General features: G+C 41.0%; 1 protein-coding gene and 1 long non-coding RNA gene across 21 annotated transcripts in view, besides 4 other annotated features; one reads left to right on the forward strand and one right to left on the reverse strand.

Annotated features, from left to right (window-relative positions):
* SNX16 (sorting nexin 16) overlaps positions 1 to 5,311 on the reverse strand; it is a 42,603-nt gene extending 37,292 nt beyond the window's left edge. For 4 of the 12 annotated variants that reach the window (NR_145475.2, NR_145474.2, XM_047422087.1 and 1 more), the window contains exons 1-3: positions 5,248 to 5,311; positions 3,324 to 3,569; positions 2,738 to 3,208 (exon numbers count right to left, since the gene is read on the reverse strand). Coding sequence is in view for 8 of the 12 variants with exons in the window: in XM_047422087.1 (XP_047278043.1) it covers positions 2,738 to 3,112 (375 nt within the window). In the remaining 4 variants the exon portion in view is untranslated. Of the gene's footprint in view, positions 1 to 2,737; positions 3,209 to 3,323; positions 3,570 to 4,663 lie in introns of all 12 variants that reach the window. The other 8 variants (NR_145473.2, NR_145472.2, NM_152837.3 and 5 more) reach the window with 5 other exon arrangements.
* Positions 4,385 to 5,317: an enhancer, noted in NCBI's record as "NANOG-H3K27ac-H3K4me1 hESC enhancer chr8:82753494-82754426 (GRCh37/hg19 assembly coordinates)". NCBI's record gives its function as "activates a minimal SCP1, AML or CMV promoter by ChIP-STARR-seq in primed H9 embryonic stem cells {active_cell/tissue: H9 hESC(primed)}" and the evidence as "EXISTENCE:reporter gene assay evidence [ECO:0000049][PMID:30033119]".
* Positions 4,865 to 4,914: a silencer, noted in NCBI's record as "silent region_19332". NCBI's record gives its function as "represses an Ori minimal core promoter by ATAC-STARR-seq in GM12878 lymphoblastoid cells {active_cell/tissue: GM12878}" and the evidence as "EXISTENCE:reporter gene assay evidence [ECO:0000049][PMID:35858748]".
* Positions 5,245 to 5,294: an enhancer, noted in NCBI's record as "active region_27585". NCBI's record gives its function as "activates an Ori minimal core promoter by ATAC-STARR-seq in GM12878 lymphoblastoid cells {active_cell/tissue: GM12878}" and the evidence as "EXISTENCE:reporter gene assay evidence [ECO:0000049][PMID:35858748]".
* Positions 5,726 to 5,995: an enhancer, noted in NCBI's record as "active region_27586". NCBI's record gives its function as "activates an Ori minimal core promoter by ATAC-STARR-seq in GM12878 lymphoblastoid cells {active_cell/tissue: GM12878}" and the evidence as "EXISTENCE:reporter gene assay evidence [ECO:0000049][PMID:35858748]".
* LINC02235 (long intergenic non-protein coding RNA 2235) overlaps positions 5,745 to 19,158 on the forward strand; it is an 81,042-nt gene continuing 67,628 nt past the window's right edge. For 2 of the 9 annotated variants that reach the window (NR_170319.1, NR_170313.1), the window contains exon 1: positions 5,745 to 5,797. This is a non-coding gene — a long non-coding RNA (long intergenic non-protein coding RNA 2235). Of the gene's footprint in view, positions 6,017 to 7,455; positions 7,509 to 7,576; positions 7,698 to 12,116; positions 12,234 to 12,511; positions 12,646 to 13,190; positions 13,314 to 16,772; positions 17,078 to 19,158 lie in introns of those variants that run through there. The other 7 variants (NR_170318.1, NR_170320.1, NR_170316.1 and 4 more) reach the window with 7 other exon arrangements.

A 19,158-nucleotide genomic window follows, 5' to 3' on the forward strand; every position in this document is an offset into this window, starting at 1 on the left:
GTCTTCACAGTGCCTCCTTCCCTATGTGATCTGTGTGCCACACTTCCCTGCCTGTCATCTCATTCCCTACACCTCCCACAGCTTACTCTGCTGTCAGCCACAAGGATCTTTGTAGTTGTCCCATCTGTGTTGAAAACACATTCTCATGGCTCATTCCCTGTTAGCACTAACATCTTTTTGTGAGGCCATGACTGATAGTGCTATTTAAATCCCAACCCCAGATTTGGGGAAACTCCCTGTCTTCCTTCTCTGTTTTATTTCTCTCTATAGTGCTTATCACCATGTGACATATCAGGCGTCTTATTATTTACTTACTTATCATGCTTTCATTCAAATTGCTGTACCACTATTACCCAGAACAGTGCCTGAGGCATAATAGGTAATTAAAAAAATGTTGAGTTAATAAATAAATGAATATGACTAATTTCATATCTGTCATTTACTTCCTCCTCTCCAGTCTCTTGAAATGCTTTACATAACACCACCTTGTATTTGGCCAAATACTTGCATCTTCACACATATCATCTGTCTTAGTCTGTTAGGTCTGTTATAACAAAATACCATAAATTTGGTAGCTTGTAAACAAAGAAATTTATTTCTCAAAGTTCTAAAGTCTGAGAAGTCCAAGATCAAGACAGTAACAGATTTGGTATCTGGAGAGGGCCTACTTTCTGGTTTATAGATGGTGCCTTATAGCTATGTCCTCAGATGTGTAAAGGACAAAAAGCTCTCTGGGGCCTCTTTTTAAGGGTCCTAATCCTATTTATGGGGGCTCTGCTCCCATGACCTACTGGCTTCCAAAAGCTCCATCTCTTAATACCATCACCTTGAAGGTTAGGTTTCAACATATGAATTTTGAAGGAACGCACATTCAGACCATAGTATCAACTCAATAAATGCCTATTTCTTAATTCAGGAAATTGGCCATCAGTTTATATTTTCTAAAAATTTTCTAAAAAGAGAGAGAGAGACAGAGTTCCCTGAAGATTTCCTATATCACAGTCTTATGATAATTTTAAAGACTGCCTCTTCATAAATTATCTCAACAATTTTTCCTTGGAGGTCCTCCCATCCTGTCATAAATTTACAGCATGAAACATTGAAGTAAACATTAAACTTTACTAAAAGAACAAAGTCTTACCAAAAAAGTAAACCTTTTGAGTTAATAAGAGAGTTGAGCAAGGTTGCTGGATATGTAAACATAAAAGGACAAATTATATAAAATAGCAGTAAATAGAAAACAAAAATAGATGTCTCTCACAAGAACATCAAACAACATCCATATCCTGAAATAAATCTAACCAACAGATGTAAGAACCCTGCACCAAAAACAACAAAACATTACTAGAAAAAAATGACTTAAGTAAATGGATTAGGTTCATAGATTTGAAAACTCAGTAAAGATGTCAGTTCTCCCCAGATTAATCTATAGATCTAACAAAATCTCAATGCAAAGGGTGAAGAATAGCCAAGGCCATCCTGAAGAAAAAAGCTAAAGTACATACACTGCTACATATCAAGACCTATTATAAGACTTTATTAATTAAGACAGTGTGAAATTAGTAAAGGATGAAAAAATAGAACACAGAAGCAGACCCATGCATTTATGGTCACATGATTTATGACACAGACAACACTGAAAATGAAGAGGAGAGAGAGTGGTCTTTCAAATAAAAGCCTGATTAATTGGTCCCATCTGGAAAAAAAAAAAAAAAAAGACTTGACCCTCACCTCACACCATGGACAAAAATCAATTCTGGTGGTTTACGAATCTAAATGTGAAAGGTCCAACAATAAAGATTTTAGAAGAAAACATAGGACAGTATCTTTGTAGCCTTGGAGTAGGCAAAGATTTCAAAAAGTGCTAGCCATTAAAAAAAGTAATAAATCAAGCCAAATTAAAATTAAGAACTTTTGTTTATCAAATGTATTATTAAGGAATTGAAAAGGCAAACCACAGAGTGAGAGGATAGTCATAATACATGTATCTGAAAAAAAAATTATATCCAAAGTGCACAGAAAACTACAAATCAAAAGGGAGACTTCCCAAAAGAAAAATGAACAAAAATCATGCACAGATATTTCACAAGAGAATATCCAAACAGCCCAAAAAAATTTTAAATTCAATTAGTCATTAAGAAAATTCAAATTAAAACCACAACCAATGTGATATTACTCTGTACCCATGAGAACAGCTGAAATGATAAAAATGTTAAAATATCACATGTTAGGAAGCTATGGATCAACTGGAACTCTTATATGCTGCTTTTAGGAGTATAAATCAGTACAACCATTCTGAAACACTGTTCACCAATATCTTTTAAAGCTGGGCATGTAATTTGGCAAGGCTAAAGAAAAGAGACCAGATGCAAAAAGAGTATATAATTCCATTTAGATAAAGTACAAAAATAGGCAAAATTAATCTAGGCTATACAAAAGTATTGGGTGAATGGGTCCTGACTGGCAGAGAACCTAGAGCATTTAAGATTCTAGTAACGTTCTTTTCCTTGATTTATGTGCTATTAATAGTTACATAGGTGTGTCTGGTTTGTGAAAATTTATTAAGGTAAAGCAAAAGTTTACTACAACATGATAGAATTCAGTGGTGTAAAAACCATTAGAATTTCATATTCAAGAAATTATAAGTACAAGTTTACATTAATTTAACACTGGTTTGAACACAGAGATTAGCCAATCTTTCACTTTGTAGTGTTATACAGCAGAAGTCAATACTTACAGTAAATTTAGCTCTTTCTTCCATCACTTCATAACCCAGTATAGTAGGTGTAGATGGTCTATCTTCCCAATTCACTGTTTCCGGATTTTGTTCTTCAGTGTCTCTTGGTCTAGTAGAATACTCAATGGAAGAAGCTGTACCTGTAAATTTAGTCCTAATGAGGGGACTGCTACAGACAGATGAAGTATTATCCATTTGATCAGGAACACTTGTCTGTTTAAAATTACCCATATTTGAGTCTTCTAACTGGCCCTTAGAAGAATTTGAGCTTGTTGAGACACTGCCAAAAGAAGAACTTCTTTGATTTCTGTTTGTTGTAAAACTGGAAGCAGAGTTTCCTATGGGCATAGGAACTGGGACATAAGGAGTTGCCATCTTCTTTTGGCTTTTCCAACAAGCTTGCACACTGTTGAGTCCACTTAGAGAACAACTAATATGCAATCCATTATTTTCTTCTTAGGAATTCACTATCTAAAAATGAAAAGGACATATTAAAAGGTTAGTCTTTAATGTGCAGCAGGATTCAAAAGAAAAGTATTCTTTTCAATTTTATGACACTATTATTTTATTTGGAATGAAAACATACCTCAAACCCCTTCTCCCAGTTGTCTTTAAGGACTCCTATTTGCAAGATAGAGAGAGCAAAACTACTTCACACTCTTTTTCCTTGACTCCATGTTACATGTTATCCCTTTTTCCTCTACTTTATTCCCTTGTGAAGTATTTCTGTAAAGTTCATTTTAACCTGATTTCATGTATGTAAAAGTTGGTAGGAGAAAGATTGGTAAAGACCCTTCTGAAGCTTTATTCCATGCTTATCATCTTGACAGTACTACATTCAGTACAAGAGAGAAAAAAGAAAAGGAAGAAAACTATTTACATTACCTCTGGATTTAATCAGAAAGGGAGGAAATCTATTCACATTACCTTTCAATTTAATTAGTGAAACTATAAAGATTTACACAGAGTAGTAACAATGAACCAGATGCTTTGATGCTACATAGTATAATTCTATAGAACCCAGGATTAAAAATACACACTTGGTCAAGTTACTCAAATAAAACCCAGTGAACACTGAACTTATATGCAACAAAATTAAATAGTGAAAATTGTAACCGTTCTTCACAGCTTACAGGTCATCACTAATTCTGCTCTACGATAAACTGAGGGTATTTAAATCTTTATAACTTACACTCAAGAATCTGTTATCAAACGGACCAGTATATCTTGTGTCAGAATAGTATCATAACACAAAGAAGAAATGGTTTACTATTACTTTGTTAAATAATAAACTCATAAGAAACTGTAACAACTACAGACCAACAAAATGACAAGACTACACACAACAATAACTGCCCAACTTTTCATACGAAACTCTACTGGTGGGAAAGGTAAGAAATGAGTCACCTGGACTTGGAAAGATGCTGAAATAAGATTTTTAACTCTGGGCTGGGCGCTGTGGCTCACGCCTGTAATCCCAGCACTTTGGGAGGATGAAGCGGGTGGATCGCCTGAGGTCAGGAGTTCGAGGCTAGCCTGGCCAACATGGTGAAACCCCGTCTCTACTAAAAATACAAAAATTAGCCGGGCATGGTGGCGCAGGCCTATAATCCCAGCTACTTGGGAGGCTGAGGCAGGAGAATCGCTTGAACCCGGGAGGCGGAGGTTGCAGTTTGCCGAGATCGTGCCATTGCACTCCAGCCTGGGCTACAAGAGGAAAACTCCGTCTCAAAAAAAAAAAAAAAAAAGATTTTTAACTCAAGTGGCTCTCGGCAACATTTCCCCATTATCAAAGATTCATGAAACTTTAGCTGCTGATTCACCGCTCCTCGGTTCCGCCTGACGGCCTCCCCAAAAACAAGTAAGTCTGAAATCTCAACCTTCTCAAGGTCCGAGGGATCTACCTGGCCTTTGCCACTCTACTACCTGAGGCCGCCTGGCTGGGGGGAGGTCGCATATCAATACATATCAACACAACCACTGACGTCCGAAGATGTGAGCGCTACCCAAGCGTTAAAAAAACAAAACAAGCAAACAAACAAACAAAAAAACGTGCTGTGCTCATTAGGAGCGTCTTCGCCTCTACCCTGATGCGGAGTTGCTCCCAGGACGCTCAGTTCATTCTCACTCTGGAAAACCTCAGGTGAGGTGGCCCGACTCTGAGCAACCCCGTGGGCGGGAGGAAAGAGGCAAATACCAGGCACAGTTCGACCCTCGGAAGGTAAGGCCGGGGTCTGCGCCGGTCACGGGTCTTCCGCACTGCAGGCGGCGAGACCCGCAGCTCCCTGGGATCACAGACTCTCCCGCCTCCGCTGACCGGTGCGCGCCCAGCGCCTCCCAGACGCACAGTGGGGTCGGCGGTGGCCTGAAGGTGGCTGGGCTTCCTGCGGCGCCTCTCCACTCTCCCGCGGAGCCCCTTGCCGCCCGCCAGACATCAAGGTTGCAGGTGTCACCCGTACGAGAACCCGGGACAGCGACCGCCTGTCCTGAGGTAATGACCCAGTCTTTACCTCAGCCCCCTCGGCGATCCCGAACGAGCGCGCTTCCCGGTGACGGTTAAACCGGACTCTCCTTAACCGCAGCTTTTCGCCTCCTCCCTCAGCAGCGAGAAGCCTCACGTGACACCCCCGCCCCAAAAGCAGCTGCTCCCCGCCTCAGCCAGTCTCTGCCCGGGCCCAAGATCCCTGCTGTGTGGAAGGAGGGGCCGAACTGGGCGGGGGGGGGGGGGGGGGGAGAGAGAGAGAGAGAGAGGGAGGGAGGGAGGGAGGGAGGGAGAGAGAGAGAGAGAGAGAGAGAGAGAGAGAGAGAGAGACAGAGACAGAGAGAAAGAGAGAGAGAGAGGGCAAGAGCGAGAGACAGAGAGAGAGAGAGAGAGAGAGAGAGAGAGAGAGAGAGAGAGAGAGAGAGAGAGAGAAAGAGAAAGAAAACGAGCGAGGGAGAGAGCGAGAGCGAGAGAGAGAGAGAGAGAGCGTCACACACACATCTCTGCCGGAAGTGATGTCACGGCATGGGCGCCCGCCCACCGGAGGAGCGACTGGAGTTGATCGGCTGGGCGCTCAGGTAGCGAAGATAAATGTAATCTTGTGGCAGGAAATCGACATTCTCTGCACTATCTTTAGTTTTCCAACTGAACTTCTGAGAAATGGAGGCTACAATACCTAGTTTGCCAAACAGGAGAAGACTACAATTCCCAGAAGGAACTGCGACCAACATTGGTCCGTGCTCATACTTTGCATCATGGGACTTGTAGTCATCACCAGCTTGCGCTGATTCTAACAGGTTATAGATTGTTTTCTAGAATTAGCAGCGCTTTAAGGGATGACAATCGATTAGAAGAGTAGGAAGATAGAACACTGCTTAGTAGCTGATCCGTTCTACATAATTCAGAAGTTCTCATTGGCAGAGAACCCCTGAAATTCTGTAGTGTCTTTTTACTATCCGGTGAGCAATTTGATCCCGATGATGGAATATTAGCCTTGTTAGACATGCGCTTCTGAAGACCTGTGCAGTAGGGAAAGCCGAGTTTTTTGATAGGCAAATCCCAAGATTCAGACCGGTCTACAGGTCTGTTCATCATTAGAATCAGATAATGTGGTTGAAAAATCATTCCACGATTTCTAAGGCTTTTGTATAGTCCCAATGTTACCCATGGAGGGTCTTGACTACAAGTCATCCAGGTTCTTGGTTTTTTTAACAAAGAATTGGACAAAACGCACAAAGAAAGCAAGGAAAGAATGAAGCAAGGAAAGCAGAGATTGAAATGACTGTACACTCCACAGAGTGGGAATGGCCTCCAGCCAGTGGCTCAAGAGCCCTGGTTACAGGATTTTCTGGAGTTTAAATATCCGCTAGAGATTTCCCATTGGTTACTTGGTTTACACCCTCTGTAAATTAAGGAGTAGCCTGCAACCAATCAGAGGCTAAAGTTAAGTTACAAAGTTGTACTCCTATGGAAATGAAGACTAGGCCCAGATACCAAGGGCCTAGAAGGTTGGGCAGGGGGTTGCAAAGGGAATAGCCTCTGGTCTTTTTGTTACTTGGGCTTGGAAAGTTGGAGTTTTCCTTTTGATTTAGTTCTAGGAAGTCAGCGTGAATGGGCCTTAGGTTCCCTGCCTCCGGACCCTATTCTACTGCCCGACTAAGAGTGAGAAAAGGTGATAGTGGTCATTTTGAAATGAAGGTTGGAAAATAGTCTGGTTTGTGACATGATGATGGTTTTGGTTTAAGAGATTCTGCCCTTTTAGTGTGAATGAAATAAAAATAGAATTCTGTAGAAACAATGTTAGGTAGGAGAATAGGGTCTGGAAACAGGGGACCTAAGGCTGATTCATGCTGACTGATATCAGAGGCGACTCCATTTTCAACCCCTCTTTTTTCTGCGTGGCAGTTGCTGCGTGGCAGTTGCAACCCTCCTTTCTTTGGGTGGCAGTTGAAAAATGAAAGAACCTCTGATAGAGCCCCTCCCTCAACCAATCAGACTGGTTGAGGGCCTACTTTTCACTCTGATTGGTCTCCTTCCACAACCAATCAGACTGGGCATAGGCCAATGGGAACCCTCTAGAGGGTATTTAAGCCCCAGAAAATTCTGTAGCTGATGCTCTTGAACCCCTTGACTGAGTCTGTTTTCCTTCTGTGGAGTATACTTTCATTTAAAATAAATCTCTGCTTTCCATGCCTTGTTTGTGTGTTCTGTCCAATTCTTCGTTCAAAACACCAAGAACCTGGACAACTACCCTCAATTGGTAACATATTTTGGTGAGCCAGCCAGAAGGTAAGCCCAAAGTTTGGGATTTGTATTTTTCTTTTTCCTCTTTCTCTCTCTCCCTTTTCCTTTCCAAGCTGGGATCCTTGATGGACAGTGCCTAAGCATGGAGGCAACTGCAGGTTTCTGGCCAGGGCCACTCTCTGGTGAAACTAAAAGGTCCATGTGGAAGCACCTGACTGCCACCACCTGGTTCAGGTGAGGAACCTGAGTTCTTTTCTTTTTCAGTCTTTCAGTGGCCATTTCCTAGTAGCTCCTTGGTAACTGAAGGCAACTGGGGCCACTCTCTGGTGTTAACTGAAGGCCCAGGAGTGAATGGGGATAGCTGCCTTGCCCAGAAAGGGGAAGGACTCTTTTCTGTCTTTTCCAGTTGTAGTCCCTGATGCCTATGAGTGATGCAATTGGCAGTGGCAGCCTGTCCAGGGAAAATTCACACATGTTTCAGGTGGCTTAAGCCTTCTTTCCTTATGTTAAATTCTTCCGTCCCCCTACTTGACTGGCTAAGGATAAGTCACAGAGTTTGGGCATATTGTGGTCTGTGTAACTCATGGAGGGGATTCATGAAAGGGAATCTATGTACAATTTAATCTTGTCCAAATTTAGAAAGTTAAAGAATTGTTTTAAGTGTGATAGGAAAAAAAATCCAAAGGTTTGTCTGAAAGTTAATTCTAGAAGTAGAGACCTTCATCCAGGGACAAGAGGGAAAACTCACAGTGGGTCATCAGTGGTGGTTGGAATCATTCCAAAGTGGTGGTGGCACCAATCTAAGGTCAGAGACGTCTAATGTACTAAGAGGGGTCTCTGGCACTAGAGGATTGACTGCACCCGCTCCCACCAAGGGGCTCAGTTAGGCAAAAGTCTAGCAGTGTGAAAGGAGGAATTAGATGAAGACTGAAGGGGCCTAGAGTCTTCCTCACTGCCCCTGTCCAGGAACATCATAATTACTATTGCAGAGCCCTGGGTAACTAGATGTCATGGGTACCCAAATTCAGTTTTTTTTTTCCAATACAGGGGCGAATTACTCTGTCCTTACTGCTTATGCAGGAAAACTTTCCTCCCAGTCTAAGAGTGTTCCGGGAATGGAAGGAAAGCCACAAACGAGATTCTTTACTTCTCCTTTGTCAGTTTGAGAAACAAATGTTCCAACATAAATCTTTAGTAGTTCCAAGCTGCCTTGTCCACCTGTTGGGAAGCGATATTATCATTAAAATAGGGGCACTACTACAAATTTAAGCATTACCCAGTAAAATTGCTAATAGTCAAAAATACAGACAATATCCCAGACCACATTAATAAACAGGTTAACCTGCTAGCATGTTATGCTGGGAAGCCAGGTGTATTAGTCCATTTTCACACTGCTGATAAGGACAAACTCGAGACTGGATGATTTACAAAAGAAAGAAATTTAATGGACTTGCAGTTCCATATAGCTGGGGAGGCCTCCAATCATGGTGGAAGGCAAGGGAGGAGCAAGTCACATCCTACGTGGATGGTAGTAGGCAAAGAGAGAGGTTGTGCAGGCAAACTCCCTCTTATAAAACTCTCAGATCTTGTGAGGCTTGTTCATGATCATGAGAACAGCAAGGGAAAGACCTTCCCCTATGATTCAATTACCTCCCACTGGGTGTCTCCTATAACATGTGGGAATTCAAGATGAGATTTGGGTGGAGACACAGCCAAACCATATCACCAGGGAAAGCTAAAACAGCAGTGCCAGTCAAAATACCAGTTTAAAGACCCCAGCTATTGCCCCAATTGAAAACAATACCCATTTAAGCTGGAAGCAAGAAAAGGCCTGGCATCCATAGTTGAGATATTGCTTACCCATGAGCTCTTAAAAACCTGCAATTCTCCCTGAAACACCCCCATCTTAACCATTCTAAAGCCCTTGAGGGAATACCTGCTAGTACAGGATTTCAGAATAATTTATCACACTGTTATCCCCGTCCACCCATTGGTGGTGGATCCATATACCCTCCTGGCTTAGGTGCCAGGGGATGCAAAATGTTTCTCCTAGACCTAAAAGATGCTTTCATCTCTATTCCTCTGGCCCCAGAATCCCAATACCTTTTTGCCTTTGAATGGGAAAATCCTAATACCAGAAAAAAAAAAAACAATACATTTGGACAGTACTCCCTCAGGGCTTTCAGGATAGCCCTGATTTCTTAGCCTGATCTGTAGAGAGGGATCTGAGGGATCTGCAATTGGAGAATGGAAGTATATTCCAGTATGTGGTTGAACTTCTTGTGTGTAGCCCAACCCAGGAGGCTTCTGACCAAAATACTATAAAAACGTTGAATTTCCTGGCTGACAGAGGATGTGAAGTGTCCAAAAAGAAGGCTCAGATTACCCTCCAATGGATCCAATATTTAGGGTATGTCTTAACACCGGGAACCCGACAAATATCCCCAGAATGAGTGCAAGCCATATGTGGTTGCCCCACAGCCACCAAGCGCAGCTTTGTTCTTTCTGGGGAATGGCTGGGTTTTGCAGAATATTGGTACCAAATTTGGGGCTTGTAGCAAAGCTCGTATATGAAGCAACAAGGAGGCCTGAAAATGAGCTAACGGAATTGACCCCAGAAATGAGAAGCCTTCACCAAGCTAAAATAGGCCCTTACCAGGCTCCTGCTCTTGGCATCCCAGACATAACTAAGCCCTTCTTGTATGTAGCTGAGAAGGGCGTAGCTGTGGGAGTGCTAGCCTAGAAATTAGGATCAGAACCCAGACCAACTGCCTGCTTTTCAAGGAAGTTGGATGGAGCAGCCTCGAGATGACCAAGTTTCCTGCAGGCAATAGCCACTGCTATGTTTGTGGAGGAAGCCACTAAAATCACCCTGGGCCAACCACTGGAAGTTCTAACCCCCCATCAGGTAAAGCCAGTCTTAGAGATAAAAGGACACATGTGGATGATGGAGGAAAGGTTAAACATATGCCAGGCCATGCTGCTAGACAATCCAGATGTAACCCTTAAAACTTGTAACACCTTGAATCCAGCTTCATTGCTACCCACAGGCCCAATAACTGATGATTCCTGTGAGCAGGTCATTGTACACACATATATTAGCTGGCCTAATTTAAAAGATTAGCCTCTCCCAGATTCTGAAGATAACTGGTTCACAGATGGCAGTAGTTTTGTGTCAAATGGGGAGTGCTGAGTTGGATATGCAATGGTAAATCACAACACCATTATTGAAGCCCAGCCACTGCCCCCTGGCACATCAGCACAAAATACTGAAATCATTGTTCTTACCTGAGCACTAATGTTGAGACAAAGGAAAAAGCTTAACATCTATCCAGATTCTAAATATGCGTTCCTTATGTTTCATGCTCATGCTACAATCTGGAAAGAAAAGGGACTACTAAATAGCAAATACTCCCCAATAAAGCACGGGCCTGAAATTCTTCAGCTGTTGGAAGCAATACACCTGCCAAAGGCTGTAGCTATAATCCATTGTAGGGGGCATCAAAGGGACTTACTTCCTATAGCACAAGGGAACAGAAGGGCTGATAGAGAAGCTAAAGCCGTATCCCTCAGGGTGCAATCCCAACAGATCCTAGCACTGCTTCCTTTCTATGATTCCTGAATGGATCCTGAATACACGCTATAGGAAGAACAGTTAATAAAGGAACAAGGGGGACAAAAATAAGTATCCGGGTGGTATATGGAATCAAACTAAATCTCCCTCAAACAGCCCAGTGGAGATGCCACCCTGGCCATGGTTAACAGGCTCTTCATTGGGCCTAACTTAGATTCAGTGGTTAAGCAGGTCTGTCAATCCTGCTCACTGTGTGCACTTAACAGTCCAGGAAACAAAATGCTTCCTCTAATAGAATCAGTCCAGAGGAGAGGAACTTACCCAGGGGAACACTGTCAATTAGACTTCACCCAAATGCCCGCTTGTAGAGGATACAAGTTTTTGTTAGTCCTGATAGATACCTTTACTGGTTGGGTCGAAGCTTATCCTACCAGAACAGAGAAGGCTATTGAGGTTATAAAGTTTCTCTTACAAATAAATAGTCCCTTAGTTTGGGTAACCTCAGAGTCTCCAAAGAGATAATGGCCCATCCTTTATCTCCCAAATAACTAAAGGGGTCGCTAAGACCTTCAGAATCAAATACTATTTACATTCAGCATGGAGGACTCAATTCTTCGGGAAAGTAGAAAGGGTTAACCAAACTCTAGAACAAGCATTAGGTAAGCTATGTTAGGAAACATCAGAAATTTGGGTCAGCTTACTGACTATAGCCCTCTTAAGGATCTGCAATACCTCTAGAGCAAAAATTAACATAAACCCATATGAAATGTTATACGGAAGGCCATTCTTAACTAATGATCTAATTACTGATCCAGAAACAGCTGGTTTAGTGAAATACCTAGTTAATGGACAATTTCAGCAGGCTTTCACAAAAGTTTGGAACTCAAAGGTTCCCCATACCAGGAGCTAACCAGCATCCCAAAATCAGGCCAAGAGATAAGATACTTGTTAAAACTTGGAAGGAGGGATCGCCTGCTCAACAACTACAGCCCAAATGGAAGGGAACATTTTCAGTGGTGCTGGCCATGCTTTCCATGGTCAAAGTATTAGGATTTAAATAATTGGATACATCTTTCAAGGATCAAGTCTGTGATACCTGAAGCCTCAGACCTGGAACCTGAAGTTTCCTTCAGCCACTACACCTGTGAACCTGTGGAAGACCTGAAGTGCCTGTTTAGAAGACAGCCAAAAGATAAGTAAATGCCTACCAACTTTCCTTGGTGTTTTTGTTGCATAGTTATTGTAGGTTGGATAATAATAGCCATATTTTTATATATTTGGCTGGATAATAATAGCCATATTTTTATATATTTTTGCAGTTTTTCTTTTTTCAAATGTTTGGAATCACTCCCTTTGTAGCAATTAAGCAGAATGTTTTAATTTCTCCCTATAACAAACATTCCTGATAGCATAGGTATCCACCCCCTGAAGTTCCCATTAGATCTTTTAACCAAATTCATTTCCTCTCACCTAGAGACCATTGAGCTTCATATGATCATGCAACAACATTGCCAGCCAGTTCCAAATGAAGATAGCACCCCCAGCGATCAATAAACTACCCTGCCTCCACTGGATAGAGCAGGGAAAAATTTCCATGATCAGCAATAGGTAGGGATTGCACCCCAAGTTAGCATGAAGCAGCTACAGAAGAAAGACCATCAATCCCTCTGCTTCCCATAAAGATTTATGGGAATCACATCTCTCAGGGGGAATATGAGGCAGGAAAATAGGGTCTGGAAGCAGGGAACCTAAGGTTTATTCATGCTGACTGGATATCAGAGGCTACTCTCTTTACGACCTCTCCTTCTCTGTGGCAGTTGAAAAATGAGACCAATATCCCTGATGAACATCAATGCAAAAATCCTCAATAAAATATTGGCAAACAGAATCCAGCAGCACATCAAAAAGCTTATCTACCACAATCAAGTCAGCTTCATCCCTGGGATGCAAGGCTGGTTCAACATATGCAAATCAATAAACATAATCCATCATATAAACAGAAGCAATGACTAAAGCCACATGATTATCTCAATAGATGCAGAAAAAGCATTTGACAAAATTCAACAGCCCTTCATGCTAAACACTCTTAATAAACTAGGTATTGATGGGGATGTATCTCAAAATAATAAGAGCTATTTATGACAAACCCACAGCCAATATCATACTGAATGGGCAAAAACTGAAGCATTCCCTTTGAAAACTGGCACAAGACAAGGATGCTCTCTCTCACCACTCCTATTCAACATAGTGTTGGAAATTCTGGCCAGGGCAATCAGGTAAGAGAGAGAAAGAAAAGGTATTAAATTGGGAAAAGAGGAAGTCAAATTGTCCCTGTTTGCAGATGACATGATTGTATATTTAGAAAAACCCCATAGTCTCAGCCCGAAATCTTCTTAAGCTGATAAGCAACTTCAGCAAAGTTTCAGGATGCAAAATCAATGTACAAAAATCATAAGCATTCCTATATACCAATGATAGACAAACAGAGAATCAAATCATGAGTGAACTCCCATTCACAATTGCTAGAAAGAGAATAAAATACCTAGGAATCCAACTTACAAGGGATGTGAAGGACCTCTTCAAGGAGAACTACAAACCACTGCTCAACAAAATGAAAGAGGACACAAACAAATGGAAGAGCATTCCATGCTCATGGATAGGAAGAATCAATGTCATGAAAATGGCCATATTGCCCAAGGTAATTTATAGATTCAATGCCATTTCCATCAAGCTACCAATGTCTTTCTTCACAGAATTGGAAAAAACTACTCTAAAGTTCATATGGAACCAAAAAAGAGCCTGCATAGCCAAGACAATCCTAAGTAAAAAGAACAAAGCTAGAGGCATCACACTACCTGACTTCAAATTATACTACAAGGCTACAGTAACCAAAACAGCATGGTACTGGTACCAAAACAGGGATATAGACTAATGGAACAGAACAGAGGCCTCAGAAATAAGACCACACATCTACAACCATCTGATCTTTGACAAACCTGACAAAAACCAGAAATGGGGAAAGGATTCCCTATTTAATAAATGGTGCTGGGAAAACTGGCTAGCCATATGTAGAAAGCTGAAACTGGATCCCTTCCTTACACCTTATACAAAAATTAACTCAAGATGGATTAAAGACTTAAATGTAAGACCTAAAACCATAAAAATCCTAGAAGAAAACCTAGGCAATACCATTCAGGACGTAGGCATGGCCAAAGACTTCATGACTAAAACACCAAAAGCAATGGCAACAAAAGCCAAAATTGACAAATGGAATCTAATTAAACTAAAGAGCTTCTGCACAGCAAAAGAAACTATCACTAGAGTGAACAGGCAACCTACAGAATGCGAGGAAATCTTTGCAATCTACCCATCTGACAAAGGGCTAATATCCAGAATCTACAAATAACTTAAGCAAATTTACAAGAAAAAAACAACCCCATCAAAAAGTGGACAAAGGATATGAACAGACACTTCTCAAAAGAAGACATTTATGCAGCCAACAGACACATGAAAAAATGTTCATCATCACTGGTCATCAGAGAAATGCAATGCAAATCAAAACCACAATGAGATACCATCTCACGCCAGTTAGAATGGTGATCATTAAAAAGTCAGGAAACAGATGCTGGAGAGGATGTGGAGAAATAGGAATGCTTTTACACTGTTGGTGGGAGTGTAAATTAGTTCAACCATTGTGAAAGTCAGTGTGGCAATTCCTCAAGGATCTAGAACTAGAAATATCATTTGACCCAGTGATTCCATTACTGGGTATATACCCAAAGGATTATAAATCATGCTACTATAAAAACACATGCACATGTATGTTTATTGCGACAATATTCACAATAGCAAAGACTTGGAACCAACCCAAATGTCCATCAGTGGTAGACTGGAAATGTGGCACATATACACCATGGAATACTATGCAGCCATAAAAAAGGATGAGTTTATGTCCTTTGCAGGGACATGGATGCAGCTGGAAATCATCATTCTCAGCAAACTATCACAATGACAGAAAACCAAACACTGCGTTTTCTCACTCATAGGTGGGAATTGAACAGTGAGAACACCTGGACACAGGGCAGGGAATATCACACACCAGGGCCTGTTGTGGGGGTGAGGGGTTGGGGGAGGGATAGCATTAGGAGAAATACGTAATATAAATGATGAGTTGATGGGTGCAGCAAACCAACGCTGCACATGTATACCTATGTAACAAACCTGCATGTGTGCCCATGTACCCTAGAACTTAAAGTATAATAAAATAAAATAAAAAAATAGATGAATGGATAAAGGCAAAAAAAAAAGAAAAATGAAAGTGCCTCTGATTGATTCCCTCCCACAAGCAATTAGACTGGTTGTGGGTCTATTCTTTATTCTGATTGGTCCCCTCCCACAACAAATCAGACTGGTTGTGGGCCAATGGGAAATCTCTAGAAGGCATTTAACCCAAGCAAATTCTGTAACAGATGCACTTGAGCCACTTGCTCGTGCACACTCCCACCCTGTGGAGTGTACTTTCATTAAAATTCTCTGCTTTCACTGCCTTGTTTGTGCGTTTTGTCCAATTCTTTGTTCAAAACATCAAGAACCTGGACAACTACCCTCAACCAGTAACAAGTAGACTAAAACATAGGTAGTTTTCAGGATAGACTTGGCAGTCTTGGCCTTGTGGTGGCAATTATATCCTTGAGTTCTTAAACCTGTAATCCCAGCACTTTGGGAGGCCGAGGCTGGCGGATCACGGCGTCAGGAGACGGAGACCATCTCGGTTAACGTGGTGAAACTCCGTCTCTACTGAAAATACAAAAAAAAAAAAAAAATTATCCAGGCATGGTGGCACGCGCCTGTAGTCCCAACTACTCGGGATGCTGAAGCAGGAGAATTGCTTGAACCCGGGAGGCGGAGGTTACAGCGAGCCGAGAATGTGGCAGCAAAAGAGACCTGTGATGAGGAAAACCTGATAGTCCCATATCTAGGAAGCCAAGGAGAATTATACTTTCAAGAAGTAAGGGTGTACAGATAACAATTAGGAGGAGGATAAAGATCTAGGTCTTTGAAATTGTCCAAGAACTTCCTTCACAAACTATTGAAGGGAGTATAACATACATACTACATGTTTTCTTTATCTTTCAGAATATCTGGTATTGATAAATGTTTTAGATTTTACTTTCAAGAAATGAAGTAAACACCTTTGGTAATCAAGAAAGATTATTCTGTGATTGGTCAAAGTTATTAGACAAATGTATTATTATTAAAGTTATTAGATTTTCATAGACTATATCTGATGATTAGTCCCTATTTTTGTAATATTTTAGTCTAGCTCTGGATGCCTCTACATGGTATAATCAAACGGAATTGTTTATATTTTCACTTAAAGAATAACAGAGGATTGTTTATTCTGCCCCTTTCATTACTTTAATTTCATATTTACTTCTAGAAGGACAAGGTATAATTTTATACAGTGATATATAAATATGGATAACTGGGGAAGGGAGGAAGGAGGTAAAAATCACAGCAGAAAAAAGCCTGTGCAATGGGCAGACTTCTCTTGAGGTGGCTTGCTGGATACCAACATTTCTCCCTTTTGCAAACATTGGTCTCTTCTACAAGGCAGGGTCTCTGGTGGCCATGTTTGTAATATATCACTCTTTTGACATATGTTTTTGTCATAGTTGGTTGTGCTTGAGCAGGACATTTGACCCAAGTTGTGTTCAACATATGCTTTTTCCTAGAAATTACAATTTGGGGACAGGAGGAGAGATACAGGTGGGAAGTCACAGGAACTAAAGTCAAACTAAAGGAAAATCTGTGGCGAGAAGGTCCATGAAGTTCTACTGCTAAGGTCCCTGAAGTTGATCTGGTTCCTCCCGCTTCTGGACTTTTCCTTGGACTCCATGAGATAATCTAATGTTCTTTCAATAGGTTAGCTTTGCTTAAATCTAGCTGGAGTTGGTTCTTTTGCTTAAAACCAAAAGTACAACTAATGCAGCCAGTTGGAATGAGGCAAACTGACAATAAATAGTAGATGCTAAGGAAATACCCTCCTAGTTTTTGCAAATAGCTGTCAACAATTTATCATCTAAGATCTTAAAACAAAGTATGGTATTTCATAACTTATTGTCTGTTTATAACATAAATAATGCTTCCATAATTACTAAAATAACACAAAATAACAACTTCATTAATTATTTTAGTTTAATTCCATAGATTCTTTAATTCATGTGTGTTGTTTTTCATAGGCAGTCTTTCTTTCATCTTAATATTCAGGATCTGTAGTCCACTTGCCCTCTATCTTCTTACTGCCATGAAATTGCAGGTCCAGAGAAAGAACCACAATCTGTTCTTAATGTGAGATAACCAAAACAGTAACAGGGTAACATGACAGCTGATTTTTTTCTCAATGCACCTGTGACCTATGCAACTTTTTAAACCCAGGGTAAGAGTTATATTTATAATGGCACAGAAATTATACTCTTCAATAGTGCTACCATTGATGAGTGATTTTATACTGATCATATTATACAGAAAAGTTCTGAAAATGTGTGAAAATGCTACTGGAAACATAAGAGATCACATTGTTCTTCAAAATCAGAGTCATAATCTTCGAATTGAAAGGAAGCATAACGACCATGAGGATAAGCGTCCATTTTTCTAGCTAAGAAAACTGAGGCAAACACAGGCTAGATGATCTTGCTGAGGTCACAGAGCCAATTACTCCTTGACTCCCAAACCCATAAATTTCTCATCACACACAAGAAAACGCTCTTTCCTGAGCACTTCTACACTCTGCTGTGTCATATGTGTCTTTCAGCTTTCCAGTATGTCCAACCTCTGGTATGTTCTCAATTAGCATTCGGTACCTGGGAAGTCTTCAAGGATTTTATGGGTGAGGAAGGTCTGCACTGGGTCTTTAAGGGTTGGTAAAAATTGAGTAAGTAAAGAAGGCAGAGCAAACCAGGCAAAGTGAAAGACTTGAGAGAGGACATAGGAATGTGGGGTGTTGCGGGACACTTAGGAGACCAACCTGATTGGAATGCAGGGAGTATGTTGGAGTGTAGCTAGAAACAGAGAGATAAGCTTCTGCTTATTCCTCAAGTTCACCTCAAATAAAATATCAGTAATATCTTCCTGCTTCCTTCAGATGAATTAAGTAAGCCCTCCTTTATGATCTTATTGCTTTTGGTACATGAATGGAGACAAATCATCATGTTATATTGATATTGTTTGTACTTATTTATGTATGTAGCCTAAGGGCCAGGAGTATGTATTAGACATCCATGTGTTGACAGTAATAAGGTATAGTCTTCATAATTACTATTTTTTTACACCTGGCCAACTTATTCACATTTTTACAAGATCCCTATAGACATTTGCATTTTCAGGTCCTAGGTTAGAGAATAAATCCAAATTATTTGGGTAAACCTGTAAGCCCCTTCATGAACTGACTTTCACAGGCTTATTTCCTCCAGAATACGAATTTAGTTGGTAAATAAATTAACCAGCTATTTATTGAGGGCTTACCATATGCAATTAACCTCAAAGTACAGCTACATCAATTATTTCCCATTCTGAGCTCTCTATTTTTTTCTGTTGCTAGCTTTTGTTGTTGCTTTTGTGTGTAATTCTTGCACTTCTCTCATCCTATTAATGAGGCTCAGCCCTAGGTCCTATCCTCTCTGAAAGCTTTTTCCAATCTCCCTCCACCATGTCCTCATACTGTTACTGGTGGAAGGTCTTGACTACGAGTCATCAAGATTCTTGACACTTTGAACAAAGAATTGGACAAAATGCACAAACAAAGCAATGAAAGAATGAAGCAACAAAAGCACAGATTTATTGAAATGAAAGTACACACCACAGAGTGGAAGCAGGCTCGAGCAAGTCACTCAAGAGCCCTAATTACAGAATTTTCTGGGGTTTAAAGACTCTCTAGAGGCTTCCCATTGATTACTTGGTTATACCCTATGTAAATGAAGATTTGGCCTATGACCAGTCTGATTGGTTGTGGGAGAGGACCAATCAGAGGTACATTCCATGTTTCATCTGTGCACAGTGGAAGTGGGCATGTTGCAAAGGGAGTAGCCTCTGACCCTTTTGTTACTTGGGCGTGGAGAGGTG

This window comes from Homo sapiens, chromosome 8 (assembly GCF_000001405.40).
Source record: "Homo sapiens chromosome 8, GRCh38.p14 Primary Assembly".
NCBI lineage: Eukaryota > Metazoa > Chordata > Mammalia > Primates > Hominidae > Homo > Homo sapiens.